At 43.8% G+C, this 19114-nt stretch overlaps 1 long non-coding RNA gene and 1 pseudogene across 3 annotated transcripts; one reads left to right on the forward strand and one right to left on the reverse strand.

Moving 5' to 3' along the window:
- Positions 1 to 10549: 10549 nt before the first annotated feature.
- On the reverse strand, positions 10550 to 14971 carry LOC107987094 (uncharacterized). 3 transcript variants are annotated; one of them, XR_001746835.2, is made up of 4 exons: positions 14493 to 14971; positions 11758 to 11871; positions 10964 to 11177; positions 10550 to 10727 (listed from the first exon to the last, which is right to left on the reverse strand). It is a non-coding gene; the product is annotated as an uncharacterized LOC107987094 (long non-coding RNA). The 3 variants fall into 3 exon arrangements; XR_001746836.2 differs by having other exon boundaries at positions 10550 to 11177; positions 11767 to 11871; XR_001746834.2 differs by having other exon boundaries at positions 10550 to 11177.
- Positions 16489 to 17042, forward strand: RPL21P82 (ribosomal protein L21 pseudogene 82; annotated as a pseudogene).

The following is a 19114-nucleotide window of genomic DNA, read 5'->3' on the forward strand; positions in this document are numbered from 1 at the left end:
TAAGAAGGAAACAATTTGACAAAATCCTTAAAGTCACACACTTTTCATGCTAACTAGCCTGGTCTCTTTGACAAGCCAAAATCATGAAGAAATAAGGGGGTGGGGGGCCTAATGTAGATTAAAGCATAATGCAGTGATTGGATCCTGGTTTTTAAAAAAGCAAATAGAAATTTGGAGTTGGATTATTGGGAAAATTTGAATATGGATTGAGCACTAGATGATCTTTGGGAATTATCAACTTTCTCAAGTATGATATTGGTTGTAGAAGTTCCTCATTTTTTGGAAGTGTAGGAGGAAGTACTCAGGGATAAAGTGTCATGAAAGCTGTAATCTTTTAAAAATCATTGTTCAGAAAAATACATACAGTTGACCCTTGAACAATGTGGGAGTTAGGGGTGCTGACACCCACTCCTTTGTACAGTCGAAAATCCAAAATAACATTTGACTTCCCCCAGACTTAGCCATGAATAGCAGACATTTTGACTGGAAGGCTTACTGATAACATAAGCAGCAATTAACACCTATTCTGTATATTATATGTATGATACACTGTGTTCTCATAATAGAGTAAGCCAGAGAAAAGAAATGTTATGAAGAAAATCATGAGGAAGAGAAAATATATTTACTGCTCATCAAGTGAAAGTGGACCATCGTAAAGTTCTTCCTCCTCATTGTCTTCACATTGAATAGGCTGAGGAGGAGGAAGAAGAGGAAGGGTTGGTCTTGCTGTCTCAGGGGTGGCAGAGATGGAAGAAAATCCTTGTACAAGTGAACCCATGCAGTTCAAACCCATGTTGTTCAAGGGTCCACTTTATATAGTTTTATGTTGGGAGATCATACCAGAAAAAAATATATATATATACATATATAAGACTTGGGAACGTGATAATACCCTCAAGCAGGTTTTCCTCTAAATTCTAAAAGGCATCTTCATTCTTGCTTAGTCTTAGTCAAGCTGTGTATTTCCCTTCTAACTAGCACAGTGCTTGCTCAGAGCAATTGCTCCAAAATTTTTTTGAACTGGAAGGATTCAAAGATGTTAGGCCTCCTCCTGCCTAAAAGTGGTTTACATAATGAAGGGCATATTTTTCTTAAATAACAAGAAGTCTGGAGGCAGCAGTTGTTACCAGAGGTTCAGCTGCTCCATAATGCCTTCAGGAATCCTAATCCTTTCTATCTTCTTGCTCCTCTGTCCTTGGTGGGAATGGATTTCAGATTCATATTTGCTGCCTTGTGGCTGCTGGTGGCTGCAGCAACCTTCAGTGGAAGAGAAGGGCCACAGGGCCCTTTCTTTAGCAATGCCCACAGGCCCCTTTCTTTATCAAGAAGCCTCCCAAGGGACTCTCACTGATTTATCTTTGGCCATGCCTGAATCACATGGCAAACTGAGCTGCAAGGGAGCCTGGGAAGCCAGGATTTCACTATCCTAACTCTTCTAAGTGCAAGAAAGGGATTTGAGGGTTATGAATTGGGTTCTGGGGGAGCTAACAAGTTTTGCCTCCAACCATTTCCTAGAAAACCTAAATGTATTTGAAGTAGATTTCCTTGGCAGTTATCTCTGGAAAAACTAAAGTAAAATAAAAAGTTGAAAAAAATTTTGATTTGAAAAGTCACTGAATTTAGTATGGATAGAGCGTCAGTTCATTCCAAAAAACATCTAACAAGCCACTGACTACACACCAAGCATTGAGCAAAAATCCAGGAGGCAAAGATGAATAAGGACTAGCTCACATCCTTAGAAAGCTGACAACCGGGCAGTAGAAGCATGCCTGCCGATAAGTAGTTATATTATGAGAAAGAGCCAGCAAAAGAAATGCTAAGTGGCCGGGCGCGGTGGCTTACGTCTGTCATCCCAGCACTTTGGGAGGCCGAGGTGGGTGGATCACCTGAGGTCAGGAGTTCAAGACCAGCCTGGCCAATCTGGTGAAACTCCGCCTGCATTAAAAATACCAAAACTAGCTGGGCATGGTGGCGGACGCCTGTAATCCCGCTACTCGGGAGGCTGAGGCAGGAGAATCACTTGAACCCAGGAGGCGGAGGTTGCAGTGAGCCGAGATCTGCCACTGGACTCCAGCCTGGGCAACAAGAGCGAAACTCCGCCGCAAAAAAAGAAAAAGAAAAAAGAAAGAAAGAAACACTAAGTGGGCAAAGAGAAGCTGGCCTGGGGACTCAGAGCTGTTTTAGAGAAGCTCTGATTTCATCAGTTGGAAGAGAAGAAAACAGCGCAAGCACAGACCGAGGGATGAGGCCAGCCTGCCCCCCACCCGCCTCTTCCGCAGAGCTGCTAGCGTTTCCCGTGGCCGCCGGGATGAGGGGTTTGTACTTGTTACCAGAAGAATTTCCATTTTTCAGCCTTGTAGAAAATGCCTAAGACTTGGAATGACACATCTTCTTCTAGTTCTGCTGCTAATTAACTGTGTGAGATCAAGTTTGAAATTTAAGTCAGGGAGCCCCTTTATTTATCATTGCGACTCTGCAGCGTTTCTAATCACGTAAGCACGTGCTCTGCACACTGTTTCTTAACCATGTCACTGACATAGTGGCTGCAATTGAATCCATCTACTAGCACTTGGTGTTTTTTTTGCAGAACAAGCCAGACATAACTTACTACGGCAAATTTGTACCTGGAAATCACGGAGATGTGATGGCAGACAAGCTCTGCGGTCATCTGGGAATGTCTCGCCAAACCGAAGGAAACCCGTGTGTCGTGTGCAGGGATTTCCATGACAGCACTGGCTTCCCAGTGACTGGCAGGATCCAAACAACCGTCAAGAGAAGGAAAGTATTTTAAATCAGGAAATATGGAAATAACCTTGTATCTGCCAGATTAGGAGGGAGAGATCAGACGACATCATCAGCTCTTTAATAATTTTTTTAAATAGAAAGTCTTCATCTCTCCTTTTTTGGTCACTTAAGTGTTTGCTGGCGGTTTCTAAAATGTCTTTTACTCCATGACATTATAGGAAAGGCGCTTTTGGAGCCGTAGTTTGGTTATAAACGACTCTCCCACAACTGTTTTCTATTTCCATTTTGTTTCACTGACTGAGAATGTAAATTGAACTTTAGTGCTATTGTGCTTTGTTCTGCCTCTCTTTGTGGAAATGTGTTTTGAATTAAAGTCCACAAATAAACCAGAGCGGTCCCAAATATTGCCCTTCAGCTTTTGAACAGCTTGAGAGCCAGGAAAAGACAGAGCATGTGGTTTTATGAGCCCCAGATGGTGTAATGGGTGTCACGCATGTCTTTACGTGGGGAGGTCAGGGGTTCAGGTTCCATCTGGAGCCATCTCAGAGACACTTCATATCCGAGGAATAAAGATGAGATCTGGGGCAGAAAACATGGCCACCTGCGGGGAGGAGACATGGTGCCTTCTCACCCTAACCACCGCCATCTCAGCCAATACCCATTCACTTATCTGAGTCTAGCGATGTTGCCTTTGACTCAGAACAAAACAATGTCATGGATTGTTTCCCTGGAATCTTCTGTCTCCACCGACTTCTTCTTTGCTAAGATCCATGAATGAGCTTCTTCCCTTGTTCATGATTGAGAAATCCAAACCATCCTCTCATTTACTGCTGAAGCAAGTAGGAATGTTTGTAGGAATATTTTCTTATCATCCCTATGCTGTAGTCCTCGGAGAGAGATTAACTAAAAGAAAGTTTCTGAGACCATTTTCTACTTCTTCACCAGAGTGGACATAAATCTAGAATTAGTGATGCTATTTGATTTGGCTTCCAAATAGTATTGATACAGTATAGCCATAATGGATTTGCAGCCATGCTATTAATTCATGTACTATTTCCTTTCATTTCTTAAAAACTTAAATTGTGTAGAGCGCGATAGCTCACACCTGTAATCTCAGCACTTTGGGAAGCAGAGGCAGGTGGATCACCTGAGGTCAGAAGTTGGAGATGAGCCTGGCCAACGTGGTGAAACCCCATCTCTACTAAAAATACAAAAATTAGCCAGGCATGGTGGTGGGCGCCTGTAATCCCAGCTACTCAGGAGGCTGAGGCAGGAGAATCACTTGAACCTGGGAGGCGGAGGTTGCCGTGAGCCAAGATTGTGCCACTGCACTCCAGCCTGGGAGACAGAGCAACACTCTGTCTCAAAAAAAAAAAAAAATTAAACTTAAATTGTGATAAACTATATATTATATGGATTTACCATCGTAACCATTTTCAAGCATACAGTTCAGTGGCATTAAGTACATTCATATTGTTGTGCATATTACAGTGGCTCACACCTATAATCCGAGCACTTTGGGAGGCCAAGACGGGAGGATTATTTGAGCCCAGGAGTTTGAGACTAGCCTGGGCAAGATGGAAAGACCCTGTCTCTACAAAAAAGTACAAAAAAAAAAAAATTAGCCTGGCATGGTGACACACGCATGTAGTCCCCAGCTTGGAGAGGCTGAAGCAGGAGGATCTCTTGAGCCCAGGGGTTCGAGGTTACAGTGAGCTGTGATTACACCACTGCACTCTAGCCTAGGTGACAGAACAAGACCTCGTCTCTAAAAATAAAAAATAAAAAAAAGAAAAAAGAAACATATGGTTGTGCTACCATCACCACCATCCATCCCAAAACACCATACCCCCCACCTGACTTTTGTATTTTATAGAGATGGGGTTTCACCATGTTGCCCAGGCTAGTCTCGAACTCCTGGAATTATAGGCACGAACCACTGTGCCTGGCTCCAAGACCTCTTACAATCTTGCAAAATGGAATCTCTGTCCCCATCAAACATTAACACCCCATTCACTACCACACCCAGCTCCCAGGCGCTGGAAATCTTAATTCATGTACTTTTACTAGACTTTTAGGTAGGGGCTATAGGAAATGTATTTTCCTTCTTTTCCCAGCATTCTGAGTTTAGCCCATGTAAGAGAGGAAAATTTTCTCTTCTCTCCACTTATCCTGGGTTCATTGGCGGAGGCCCTGTAAATTGAACTGACAGAAGACAGATTAACAAGAGAAAAACAAACAAGTTTATTAGCACTTGCACCGTGCACACACGAGAGCACTCAGAGATGAGTAACTCAAAGGGGTGGTGAAAACGTGGGCTTGTATCCTTATCAAAGAACAATACATTTGTAGAGAAGAGATGAGATAAAGGAAAAGGACTTTGAGCTTTTAGTTACAGCAAACTGTGGGAAGGCAAATCATCTATGGGTAGAGTGGAAGATAAGGGTGGTTAGTAGGATCCTCTAGTGTTTTCTCCAGCTGATAAGCATCTAGAATTGTCTCTGGTGATTAGCTTCTGTCCTTCCTAGCAGAGAGAAGGGGGATATCTTTGCCAATTTCTGTCCTGATTTAAGCAAATAGGGGGAGGGCAGAGAGCTTTTCTTGTATCTCCATCTTCTCAGTTGCTGTCAACTCCAATTAATCCTGATGTCAAAGTGCACATTTCGGAGCAGCACATTCTGAACCCCTTCACCTATGAATAAGGAATTTCTACTCTCTTCCCCTTCACTCCAGTCCGTGGAAGGGAAGACAGGAACTTTTTGGTGGGTGTCTAGAGAGGAGAAGCAGAGGGTTTCTGGCTCTTTCACGATTTGGGGAAGTAACGGGCTATCTAAGACATAGTCATCGTATTCTGTCATTTCAGGGGCTGTGGTTACTCACGTGTGCCTGTGATTGGGTGAAGCTGGATAAGATTAGGAAAAAACCTATTGGAAAGCAGAGGAAAAACCCTGTTCCCCAGTGAGGTTAAACACTAGTAAACTGCCATTTTGCTCCCTAGCTGACGGTACTGTGAATTGGTTCAGAACTCAGGAGGAGAAGAGTGTTGTTTATTCCCTGCTGCCCCCCACAACCTCTCCACGAGTCCGAGAGCCCTGTGATGCCATGCATTTTCAGTGCTTAGCACATTTTGGTCAGTTTGCCTATGTGTCTTTGAAGATCCCTGAATTCAAGCTTCTGCTTATCATATGCCAGCTGTTGGTAAGCAAGAGCCAGTTCTTTTATCATTAATAACCAGCACTTTGCTATTTTGCCCAGAACTTAATTTACAAATCAATCAATCAGTCCCTACCATGGTTCTCCTGGGGGCTGTGACAGTTTCTCCTGTGAGAAGCAGCCAGATCACAAATTGGTGGCAATAACTGGAGAACAACTGTCTGGGGAACATGTGATTGATTTGAGGCTCAAGTGGGAAAGAACCATCCTGCTTGTAGCCATTACTTCTTTTCTTTATATTTTTTTATTTTCAAATAATATTGGACTTACATAAAACTTTGCAGATAGAACAGCCAGTTCTTATATAACCTCACCCAGCATTCCCAATGTTCACATCTTTCATAGCCAGGGCAAAACGATCAAACAGGAAATTAGCAGTGACATGATGCAAAATAAACTACAGATCTAATTTGAATTTGGTCAGTTTCCCCACTCACACCCTTTTTCTCTTCCAGGTTCCCATCTAGGAGCCCCCTTGCATTTAGTTGTTGCAGCTTCTTAGTCTCCTTCAATCTGGGACTGTCTCTCAGTCTTGTCTTTCATGACCCAAACACACTTCTGCAGAATACTCGTCAGTTATTGCTGTGGAATGTCTGTTGGTCTGGGTCCGTCTGATGTTCTCTCATAATCTGATTGAGGCTATGCATTTTTAGCAAGAATACTGCATAAATAATGCTGTGCCCTCAGTGCAATGCATCCACACAGGGCTTCGTCATTCAATACGTCTTCTTCTTGGTGATGTGAACCCCCACCACCCAGTGAAAAGTGGTGCCCGCTGGCTTTCTCCACTGGTGCAGTGTGATTTATTAATGAGGGAGTTACTTCAAGACAATGCAAATATCCTGTTTCTCCTCAAACTTTTCCCCACCAATATTAGCATCCATCGGTGGGTCTTGCCTACAATAATACTTTATCTGGATTTAATGATTATATTGATTATTCATAAAAAGTTTTATATTCATTCAGGAATTTCTGCAGGCATTTTTATGAATTGTCCTATTTATAGCTATACTGCATATGAGTGATAAGAACAATGACAATAGGAATAATAATAATACTCATTTTTGAGTTGAATAAGTACCTGACAAATTGCTGGGCTCATTAAATGTTAATCATTATTATCGTGGGGTTTTTTGTTGTTGTTGCTGTTGTTGTTGTTTTATGAGATAGGGTCTCACTCTGTCACCCAGGCTGGAGTGCAGTGGTGCAATCTTGGTTCACTGCAACCTCCTCTTCCTGAGTTCAAGCAACTCTCCTACCTCAGCCTCTCGAGTAGCTGGGACTATGGGCATGCACTACCATGCCTGACAAATTTTTTGTGTCTTTTGTAGAAATGGGGTTTTGTCATGTTGGCCAGGCTGGTCTCGAACTCCTGGGCTCAAGTGATCCGCCTGCCTCGGCCTCCCAAAATGTTGGGATTACAGGTGTGAACCACTGCACCCGGCCTGTTATTGTTCTTATCCCTCACATGCAGTATAGCTATAAATAGGAGAATTAATAAAGATGCCTGCAGAAATTCATTCAGAAGAAATTCCTCATTGATGGAATGGGAATAATACCTATTTTACAGAATGAAATATATGTAAAAACATACGTATATATAATTTTTTGAAGTGTTAAGGGTACCTTCTTCAAACATTTGTTCTTAAACAATTCCTCTCCTACCTCCTGAACGAACTCTGTCACTAATTATACTACTTTTTTTTTTTTTAATTTGAGACGGAGTCTTGCTCTGTCACCCACGCTAAAGTGCAGTGGCGCCATCTCAGCTTACTGCATCCTCCTCGTCCCGGGTTCAAGCAATTCTTGTGCCTCAGCCTCCCAAGTAGCTGGGACTACAGGCACACACCACCACGCCCAGCTAATTTTTGTATTTTTAGTAGAGACGGGTTTCACCATTTTGGCCACGCTGGTCTTGAACTCCTGACTTCAGGTGATCCGCCCACCTCGGCCTCCCAAAGTGCCAGGATTACAGGCGTGAGCCACCACACTCGGCCTACCTTTTTCAAGTCTTAATAATAATTTGTTGGTTACCTCTGTGAAGTAGAATTAAGGATAATTTTTGTATGTGATACTTTCCTGAATTTATAAAGTTTTTATGTAATAAACATTATTTCTTACATATTTTATAATGTAACCCTTAAGTCCTGCTCAAAATGGAGTGAAAATCTTACTTTGTAGAGGAGACATGATACTTTTTTCCCATTCTTCATATCTAAATGCACAGTTGTTTCCTCTTGGGCACACATACTTGTTTGTTTATACATTAGAATGCTGTTAGGTAGATTATTTTGTTGGCATTTAAAATATACACAATTTTATTGTGTATATTTTCATGGTTGTCCTTTTGAAAATAGTACTACCAGGAAAATGTGATCAGTTAAAATTTTCCCAATACAGTAAAGAATTTTAATTTACGTATGTTTTGGCTTTGAGAGAAACAAGATTGCTTAAACAAACTCCCTCAAGACCTTCAAGTGCTGTAGGCCAGGTACTGGATTAAATTAAACAAGTCGCATTTCCTTACCTAAGCGTAACTGGGTAGAAAGGAGTATTATTGTTGCATTAAAACAGCATTTGTTCACCATACTTTGTTAAAACCTTGGATGGAGTTTTAACCTAAATTGGCTTAATTCAGAAAAGTCTTTCTACAGAAGTAAACCTTAAAAGCATTGTTATTCAAGGCTGGGCATGGTGGCTCATGCCTGTAATCCCAGCATTTTGGGAGGCTGAGGCGGGCAGATCACGAGATCAGGAGTTCGAGACCAGCCTGACCAACATGGTGAAAACCCATCTCTACTAAAAATACAGAAGACAGCCGGGCGTGGTGGTGGGCACCTGTAATCCCAGCTACTCAGGAGGCTGAGGCAGGAGAATTGCTTGAACCCAGGAGGCAGAGGTTGTAGTGAGCCGAGATCACGCCACTGCATTCCAGCCTGGGCAACAGAGCAAGATTCCATCTCAAAAAAAAGAAAAAAAAAAAAAGCCATCCAGCCTTAATTCTAGTTGAGATGAAGTGAACTGAGTGGCTGCAGGCTGTCTCTTCCTGAAGTTCTTCAGAAATCAGGGATGGCTTACATAAATCCATGCCCAGGGGCGGGGCAGGACTAACACCAAGAAGGTTCTTAACAAGGGCCCAGATTCGAGATCCTCACACAAAGCAATTATTTGCAGAGAATACCCATTCCAGTTAAAATCTCCAGGCTGTTAACTTACTTAATGAGTGCCCTGTTGGGATGTGGAAAGATGCAGAGACTCTCACCATCTATTGCCTCTCCTTTATCCACACAAGTAAGACCCATGCAGGGTGCTCCTGCAGTGCAGGGAACTCTCTTTATTGCAAAAGGGAAAAAGAAAAGTTGCATCTGTCAAGTTTTTGAAGGGCTAGGATTTAGACTGGCAGTTTGTTTGTTCCCTTTGAGAGCCTGAGGGAAGCTATGGGCCCTCTTCCCAGAAGCAGGTCCACAGATGTGTGATGTAGGGTGGGTGGTTCCTCCTTATTGTCTGCAAAATACTTTCTTTCCAATCTTTGGGAGATATGATGGTTAATTTTAGGTGTCAACTTGACTGGGATAAGGGATGCCCAGATAGCTGGTAAAGCATTATTTCTGGGTGTGTCTCTAAGGGTGTTTCTGGAAGAGATTGGCATTTGAATCAGCAACCTGAGTAAGGAAGATGCCCTCACCTAAAGTGGGTGGACGCTATCCAATTTGCTGAGGGTCTAGGTAGAAGAAGAAGGCAGAAGAAAGGTGAACTCATTCTCTCTTCTGAAGTTGGGACACCCTTCTTCTCCTGCCCTTGGACATCAGAGCTCCAGGTTTTCCTGCCTTTGGACTCTGGGACTTATACCAGCAGCCTCCTGATTTCTCAGGACAGCAGCCTCAGATGGAGGGTTACACCCTCAGGTCCCCTGGTCCTCAAGCCTGCGGACCTGGACTGAATTACACCATTGATTTCCCTGGCTCTCCAGCTTACAGACAGCAGACTGTGGGACTTCTCAGCTTCCATAATTACATTAGCCAATTCCCATAGTAAATTCCCTCTTCTATTACATAGCATTGCTGTGAGTACTGAGCTCACAACAATGGGTTAATATGAATAAAACTCCCAAAACAGCTCTGAGAACATGAGAACATGATAAATGCTGTCTCAATATCGTCATTCAATGATCAATACATTCAATGTTTTCTTAGATTCCTTCTTGCTCTAAGAACCTGTGAATTTTTTTTTTTTTTTTTTTTTTGAGATGGAGTCTCGCTCTTGTTGCCCAGGCTGGAGTGCAGTGGTGTGATCTCAGCTCACTGCAACCTCCACCTCCTGGGTTCAAGTGATTCTCCTGCCTCAGCCTCCCAAGTAGCTGGGATTACAGGCACCCGCCACCATGCCTGGCTAATTTTTGTATTTTTAGTAGAGATGGGGCTTCACCATGTTGGCCAGTCTGGTCTAGAACTCCTGGCCTCAGGTGATTCACCCGCTTTGGCCTCCCAAAGTGCTAGGATTACAGGCATGAGCCACCAAGCCTGGCCTATAAATCTTGATAACACTAAACCTATCTCTATACATTAATCAATTACCATGTCCCAGATACTAATGGGGAGTTGACACACTTTATTTCACTTAATGACCCAAACAATCCTGTGAGTTGGGTTATATCACTTGATTGTCCACAGTGGAGAACAAGGTTGAGTAGCTTGCCTAAGATTAGTGGTGTGTTCATTCTCAAAGATGGGATGTCTGGAATCCAAACCCTCATCTGTCCAAATCACAAACTGGGAGAAGTTATTTGCAGCATAGAAAACAAAGGAGTAGTATCAGAATACAAAAGAAGCTTTGCATATTAAGAAAAGAGACACGAAATTCAAATCAAATGAATGGACAGTTTCTAGAAGAAATCCACTAGGTCAATGTGTCTGTGATAAAATGCTCAGTCTCACTGGGTATAAGCAAATTCAAATAAAAGAATGAGCTGCCACTGATGAAGACAGAGGGAAATGAGGACTCTTACCCACAACTGGTGATTGGTAGTCTTTTTGAGCTTTGAAGATATATTTTGCTATATTCTAACTTTCCATATTGCTGTTGAGATGTCTTATGGTATTCTTATTTCTGATTCTTTGTATGCCTATTAAATAAGATGGCTTGGGCAGCAAGGAACTGTAGAAGAGGGAGAACTTTTCCTCTGGTGTCTTAGGTTCTGCCGTTGGGATCTGCTAATTAAACTGACAAAAGACAGACTAACAGTAGAAGAGGAATACGAATTTTATCTGATGTTAATTTTTACATGTATATGGAAGCTTCCATAGAAGTGAAGACCCAAAGAGAAGCTAGACCCGGGGGTCTATATGTTATTTTAACAGAGTGATAAATTGTGGAGACAGGACAAAGGAAAAGAATTTGTGCTTCTAGGAGCAGTAAATTGTGGGAAGGTAAATTTATGGGGGACACCAGTTGATGGTAAGGGTTATTTAATAGGTCTGTTTGTGCAGACTCATCTCCATGCTTTCCCCACTCCAGTAATAAAGGTTGTCTTTCCCTTCCTGATATGAGAGCAGGGGATGCCTTCACAACAGGAAATGTATGCCTTGTTTTGTCAGCAGACAGAGAAAGGTAGTGAGCGTTTCTTGAGTCTGCTGCTTTTCAATTGTCTTCAGCTCAAAATAATCCTTATGCTAAAGTGGCATAGTTTGGGTGACTCCCTTCAGAACATAATATCTGTCTAAGAATAGTATAGGTACATTGACTGCTTCCTTAGTAGGAGGACTGGAAGTAAGCTATCCCAAGGCTGAACTGGCACCTCACCATGCTCACCAGGGCCCCGGCTCCTTTCAGCTCTCTGCTCTTCCATCCTCAGCATGTTGATGATGTTATGCTTCAAGGAGACAAGATGACTGTGCCAGCTCCAAACATCACAGCCTGAGTCACAAGGAGAGAAGCAATAAAATTACCCCATTCCCAGCAGACGTCTCCCTGAATTTCCTTGGTCAGGACTGTGCCATACTACACAGTTTAATAGCCGGCCAAGGAGCCCCCTGTGCCTGGCGCAATCATGATTCCTCCCTCCGGAGGTCCGTGCTACAGGCCTCCAAACCTGGCTTCTATTAACAGGCAGGAAAGGGAAGATGGCTGTTTGGCAGACTATCTGCAGTGTCTGGTGCAGTAGAGGAAGTTTTTTTTCTCCTCTGGAAGTTTAGGATTATCAGTTCTCTCTGGTGTTTTGGGTGGAATTAAGCCTCATTTCCTTGCAGACAGACTTGGCTAGAAAATCTAGCCGAAGTGGAGGCATTTAATGAAAAACCTTGACAGAATGAGAATCTGTTAAAACAGGTACTTTTAAAAGAACAAACTTGAGCTAGTCATTAGATATTGTTTAGATAGATAAGAAACAGTTTAGTAACAAATCTGTTAAATCTACACATATTCTGTGCCTTATCATCATAAAATAATCTTCTGGCTACATCTTTTTGTTAAGAAGTATAAGGGCTAGTCTTGTGTTAATAGTTTCAAGAACCATTTTCTTGTAACCTTGAGACTTGCTTATGGTTGTCACAAAATAGTCCAAATTTTTAGACTATTTGACATAGACAAGTATAGACTGGGTTTGTTCTTACTAAAAGCTGACTTTTGGCCGGGCGCCATGGCTCACGCCTATAATCCCAGCACTTTGGGAGGCCAAGGTGGGTGGATCACCTGAGGTCGGGAGTTTGAGACCAGCCTGACCAACATGGAGAAACCCTGTCTCTACTAAAAATACAAAAAAAATTAGCCGGGCGTGGTGGTGCACGCCTGTAATCCCAGCTACTCTGGAGGCTGAGACAGGAGAATCGCTTGAATCCGGGAGGCAGAGGTTGCGGTGAGCTGAGATCACGCCATTGCACTCCAGCCTGGGCAACATCTCAACGAAAAAGAAAAAAAGAAAGAAAGAAGAAAAGGGCCGGGCACGTTGGCTCACGCCTGTAATCCCAGCACTTTGGGAAGCTGAGATGGGCAGATCACGAGGTCAATAGATCGAGACCATCCTGCCTAACATGGTGAAACTCCATCTCTACTAAAAATACAAAAATTAGCCAGGCGTGATGGTGGGCACCTGTAGTCCCAGCTACTTAGGAGGCTGAGGCAGGAGAATTGCTTGATAGATAATCGCGAGATTCCATCAAAAAAAAAAAAAGCTGACTTTTTTTTTTTTTTTTTTTTTTTTGAGACAGAATTTCACTCTGTCACCCAAGCCGGAGTGCAGTGGTGCAGTCTTGGCTCACTGCAAGCGGGTTCAAGCGATTCTAGTGTCTCAGTCTCCCAAGTAGCTCCAATTTATTAGATATTGTACTGCCAAGAATGAGTCTCTACATTTCTTATATTTTCTCTTCTAGTTTCCATCTCTCTATCCCTCTTACCCTGATATTTCCTTAATTTTGTCTCCCACCTACCTACTGAACTTTGTTTAAAAAAACAGCTGGGCGCAGTGGCTCACGCCTGTAATCCCAGCACTTTGGGAGGCTGAGGCAGGCAGATCATCTGAGGTCAGGAATTCGAGACCAGCCTGGCCAACATGGTGAAACCCCATCTCTACTAAAAATACAAAAATTAGCCGGGTGTGGTAGTGCATGCCTGTAGTCCCAGCTACTCAGGAGACTGATGTAGGAGAATGGCTTGAACCCAGGAGGTGGAGGTTGCAGTGAGCCAAGATTGCGCCACTGTACTCCAGCCTGGGCAACAGAGCTAGATTCCGTCTCAAAAAAATAAAAATAAATAAATAACAGGCTATTTTCAAGAGCTCTGTCCCTGATTATTCTCGATTCATGAGTGCAGATTTTCTCTTCCAGTTCTGATGGTATCTAACCACAGGAGGATGTGTGAATACTTTGCTACCTGAATTGTCTCTGTTCTGTTTGTTCTGCTGTGTCTGCCCCTCCCGCGCTGGTAATCCTTGCCTCTCTGCTCCTATTTAAGACTAAGGCGCTAGGACGCTGGTTGTGCTGCGTGTGTGTGAGGGAAGCTTGAGGCTTGGTGGCTCCCACCAGAGCGTGGTCGGCAGGAAGCCAAGTCTCCCCTCCACAGATCATACCTACAGGTCTTTTCTCCAGGAATGGTTCTCAGAGGGGTGGCACCGGGCAGTGAGACCCCGCCTGTCAGAGTTCTGGAAGAGGGCAAGTGTGCTGGACACAGACGCCATGCATAGACCGCTCCTGGGCAGACCCTGTTGCCCCAGCTGGCAGCAGGCCACCCTCGGCTGTCAGCTCCCCCCAGGCCCGCCTCCCTCGTAGGGAGCCCTCGACAGCCTTTCTGGGCACCCGCATGGGTGCCTGATGGAGGTGAGCCTGCTGTCTACTGGAGCAGCCCGGGTAGGTCTGCCACTGTGTAGAGAGAGACCAGGGAGAGGCCGCACAGCCGGGCAGGGAACTGGGCCCCTACGCATTACTGGGCGCAGTACCCCAGGGGCGCAGGCAGTTCTCCCTCGGGCTGCGGGCCCCTGGCGGGGGGCGCGGTCCTTCCTCAACCAGGGCAGGAGCCGTGGGTCGCCAGCCAGGCTTCCTTCTCACCAAGCAGTCGACGTGAAGGTCCCAACAGGCTTGAGCCCGGTTGTCCACAGCGGAAGCCTCAGTCATTTATTTCTCAGTGAAGTCCCTGCAGGGACTTGGGCGGCTCCATTTTCCTCTCCCCTACAGGCGTTTCCTGGGATCACCTCCCACATAGCTGCTTGCACTTCAGTCCTTCTCTCAGGATCTGCTTCTGAGAGAGCTGGAACCCACCCACATCGTAGTAGACATTCAATTAGATGCCAAGACGCGGACTCTCAGACCTCACTGTGCTACAGAGCGCCCTCTCTGCCGGGCCCTGGGCTGGAATCATCCGCGCTCCTGCCATAGCGTTAATGACGGCCCTAAATGTTACCTCTGCTCTTGCTGCGTGACGCCGTAAAGCCGATTGTAGTACCTTATTTCGCAGACGAGGAAACAGCCTCAACGAGCTCCCTGAGGTCACATGGCTAAGAAACTGAGAGACCATTACTGAAATTCCAATTCCCAATTCCCATCTTCTTGACTCCGAAGCTCTATGTTCTTTTTTTTTTTTTTTTTTTGAGACAGAATCTCGCTCTGTCGCCCAGGCTGGAGTGCAGCGGCGCAATCTCGGCTCACTACAGCCTCCGCCCCGGGTTCAAGTGATTCTTGGCGCCCCAGCTGCCCAAGCGTCAGCCTCCCAAGCTGCTGGGATTACGGGCGCGGCCACCAAGCCTGGCTTTTTTTTTTTTTTTTTTTTGTATTTTACTAGAGATGGGGTTTCGCCATGTTGGCTATGGCTGGTCTTGAACTCCTGGCCTCAAGTGATCCACGTTGGCCTCCCAAAGTGCTAAGATTACAGGCGTGAGCCACTGCACCCGGTGGAAAGCCCTATGTTCTTTTATTTTCTTTTTGAGACGGAGTCTCGCTCTGTTGCCCAGGATGGGGTGCAATGGCATGACCTTGGCTCACTGCAACCTCCGCTTCCTGGGTTCAAGGGGTTCTCCTGCCTCAGCCTCCCTAGGAGCTGGGATTACAGGCACCCACTGGCTAATTTTTAGTATTTTTAGCAGAGACGGGGTTTCGCCATGTTGGCCAGGCTGATTGGCTGATCTCGAACTCCTAACCTCAGGTGATCCACCCGCCTCGGCCTCCCAAAGTGCCGGGATTACAGGCCTGAGCCACCGCGCCCAGCTGGAAAGCCCTGTGTTCTTAACATTTAAGAGTCTATTCTGCCTGGAAAGAAATCAGATAAAGAGCAATTCAAAAACAACAAAAGTTGGGAGGCCGAGGCGCGCGGATCACGAGGTCAGGAGATCGAGACCATTCTGGCCAACATGGTGAAACCCCGTCTCTACTAAAAATACAAAAATTAGCTGGGAGTGGTGGCATGCACTTGTAGTCTCAGCTACTCTGGGAGGCTGATACAGGAGAATCGCTTGAACCCGGGAGGTGGAGGTTGCAGTGAGCCGAGACCCTGCCACTGCACTCCAGCCTAGTGACAGAGCGAGACGCTGTCTCAAAAACAACAACAACAACAACAACAAAAGAATATTCATCAACAAAGTACTCAAGACTATAATAGACACGTATTCTCTAAGAAATAAGGCCGGGCGCGATGGCTCACACCTGTAATTCCAGCACTTTGGGAGGCCGAGGCGGGCGGGTCACGAGGTCAGGAGATCGAGACCATCCTGGCTAACACGGTGAAACCCTGTCTCTACTAAAAAAAAAACAAAAAAATGAGCCGGGCATGGTGGCGCGTGCCTGTAGTCCCAGCTACTCCGGAGGCTGAGGCAGGAGAATGGCGTGAACCCGGGAGGCACAGCTTGCAGTAAGCTGAGATCGCGCCACTGCACTCCAGCCTGAACGACAAAGCGAGACTCCATCTCAAAAAAAAAAAAAAAATAATAATAATAAATAAATTAGTTTCTCTCACTTTCTTGTTTTAAAAGTAATTTTTGACATAAAAGAGAAAAAAGCAGACGCTGTAATTTGAAGGGGAAAAAACCTTACATTTAAAAGTAGAAGGTAGACTTTTCAGCCAGAACTGCCATCTTTCAGTAATTCGCCAAAATGACGAACACAAAGGGAAAGGGGAGAGGCACCCGATATGTGTTCTCTAGGCCTTTTGGAAAACATGGAGTTGTTCCTTTGGCCACGTATATGCACATCTATAAGGAAGGTGATAATGTAGACACCAAGGGAATGGGTACTGCTCAAAAAGGAATGGCCCACAAGTGTTACCTTGACAAAACTGGAAGAGTCTACAATATTACCCAGCATGCTCTTGGCACTGTCGTAAACAAACAAGTTAAGGGCAAGATTCTTGCCCAGAGAATTAATGTGTGTATTGAGTACATTAAGCACTCTAAGAGCCGAGATAGCTTCCTGAAACGTGTGAAAGAAAATGATCAGTAAAAGAAAGAAGCCAAAGAGAAAGGTGCCTGGGTTCAACTGAAGTGCCAGCCTGCTCCACCCAGAGAAGCACACTTTGTGAGAACCAATGGGAAGCAGCCTGAGCTGCTGGTACCTATTCCCTATGAATTCATGGCATAATAGGCGTTAAAAAAAATAAAAGACCTCTGGACTGTTCAATGAAAAAAAAGTAGAAGGTGGGACACAGAGAATCTTACAGCTTAGGGGAACAAAGGGGTTGTTAGAAGTTAGTGGAGATCCAAGAGCCCTTTGGAAATTATTGTTTGTCCAAGATTTTATATTCCAGGGCTATTTTTAACCCATTTTGGATTGCTGTGTGGTAAAGAGAAAAGTACTGTATGGTAATGAACAGGAGTTAAGAGTGGGTCTGGGTTGTGTCCTGGTTGTGAGATCACAGTCAAGTGAATTAGTTTTTCTGTCTCTGCTTTCTCACCTGTAAGTGGATTTTGTGGGGTTTAAAATGGGATGCAATTTATTAGAGAGCTTTGAGATATAATACAGCAGATACAAATATTCTACAACCTTGAGTAATTTTACGATAAGTCTTGGGGAGAAGAATGGGGAAGATCCAATTAGGTCCCCTGACCTGTATATAAATGAGAATCTGCATTCTAGATCTACAGAGCTGGCACAGATTTCTTTCTTATGCAGAATCTCTTCTCAAAATATTTTTTTACAAAGTCTTTTACGAATATGAAAGCTCATGGAAATATCCTGTTCAACTTTGAAACTTGGAATTTTGTTTCTATGAAATTGACAAGTGAATGTGTGACAGTATTTCAGAAACAATAGAAAAGAAGGAATAGAAACAGCTGGTAAATTCTTTAGATGTGAAAGTGGTTTTTCTTTTCTTCTTCTTTTTTTTTAACCAGACTCTGATCCTGAAAAATAAGCATCCCCAAAATCAGAAAACAGTACATATTAGCTGCTGAAAACTGAGGTTGAACCCAATTTTACCCTGTCTTGTTTAACTTCAGTTAGGAATGGAATTAAAGAGATAGTTTTGTTTTGAACTCTTGACCACTGGAAATAAAAGGGAGTGAAGTGTGCAGGTAGCCAAAAATCCACCTAATTCACCTCCCATAGCACACTCACATTTGTTTTGTTTTGTTTTGTTTTTTTGAGAGACAGAGTATTGCTCTGTCGCCCAGGCTGGAGTGCAATGGTGCGATCTTGGCTCACTGCAACCTCCGCTTCCTGAGCTCAAGCAATTCTTCTGCCTCAGCTTCCCGAGTAGCTGGGATTACAGGTGCCCACCACCATGCCCAGCTAATTTCTGTATTTTTAGTAGAGACCGGGTTTCACCATGTTGGCCAGGCTGGTCTCGAACTCCTGACCTCAAATGATCCACCCACCTTGGCCTCCCAAAGTGCTGGGATTACAGGTATGAGCCATCGTGCCTGGCCCACTCACATGTTTTTAATGATAGTTTATTTTGGAGTAATTTTCCATTCATTTAACAAACATTCATAAATAATCTATTCAGTGTTACTTATGCTTCTGAGGGAATAAATTAAATACTAATCAAATGACATAGATTTGATTTATCTGTGGCATGAAGGCCACCATTACAGATAAACCATAAAAGGTTGTTACCTTGGAATTCTAAAGATTTATAAAGTGAGGTACAAAACAACAAAATCAAGAATAAATATAAAATTTATTTATAAATATTTAGAACCCATATTAATTTCCCAAATAGTCTCAGGATGTAAGGCCTGCTGCAGTAGCAGTTTCAGAGAGGAGTGGATACCAGCACCCCACAACCTGATTTAAAATAATAAAGTCCAGATGCTCTTGCCAAAAAAGAGGTCAGCATCACTCACTGCCATGACCTGGATCGTATTTCAAAAGTGTCAAATCAAAGCTGTCCCACCAAAGCCTGATTTCTTAATGAATTCCTTATGCATTTCATCTCTTGAATACAAAAAGTTGGGTATCTGTTGTGGAGTAAAATTTAGATGTAAGAAACAAAACCCAGCGAGTGTGATCCTATGTGAAATGCATCCCCATGCAGTTGGTCTCTTACTGTACGAGTTATTTACTGCGTAATTAAGATGCTTTCATTTAAAAAGCCACATCTGAGAATCATCATCATATTTACAGGGAAAAGGGAGTGTGAGCTGAAGGAAATTTAGTAGAAATCTAGACATTTAAGTCTTTAAAAAATGCTGACATTCTGTCATGTTGATCCAGCACTATCAAGAGTAAAATCTAAAAATTTT

Source organism: Homo sapiens, chromosome 9 (assembly GCF_000001405.40).
Source record: "Homo sapiens chromosome 9, GRCh38.p14 Primary Assembly".
Taxonomy (NCBI): Eukaryota; Metazoa; Chordata; class Mammalia; order Primates; family Hominidae; genus Homo; species Homo sapiens.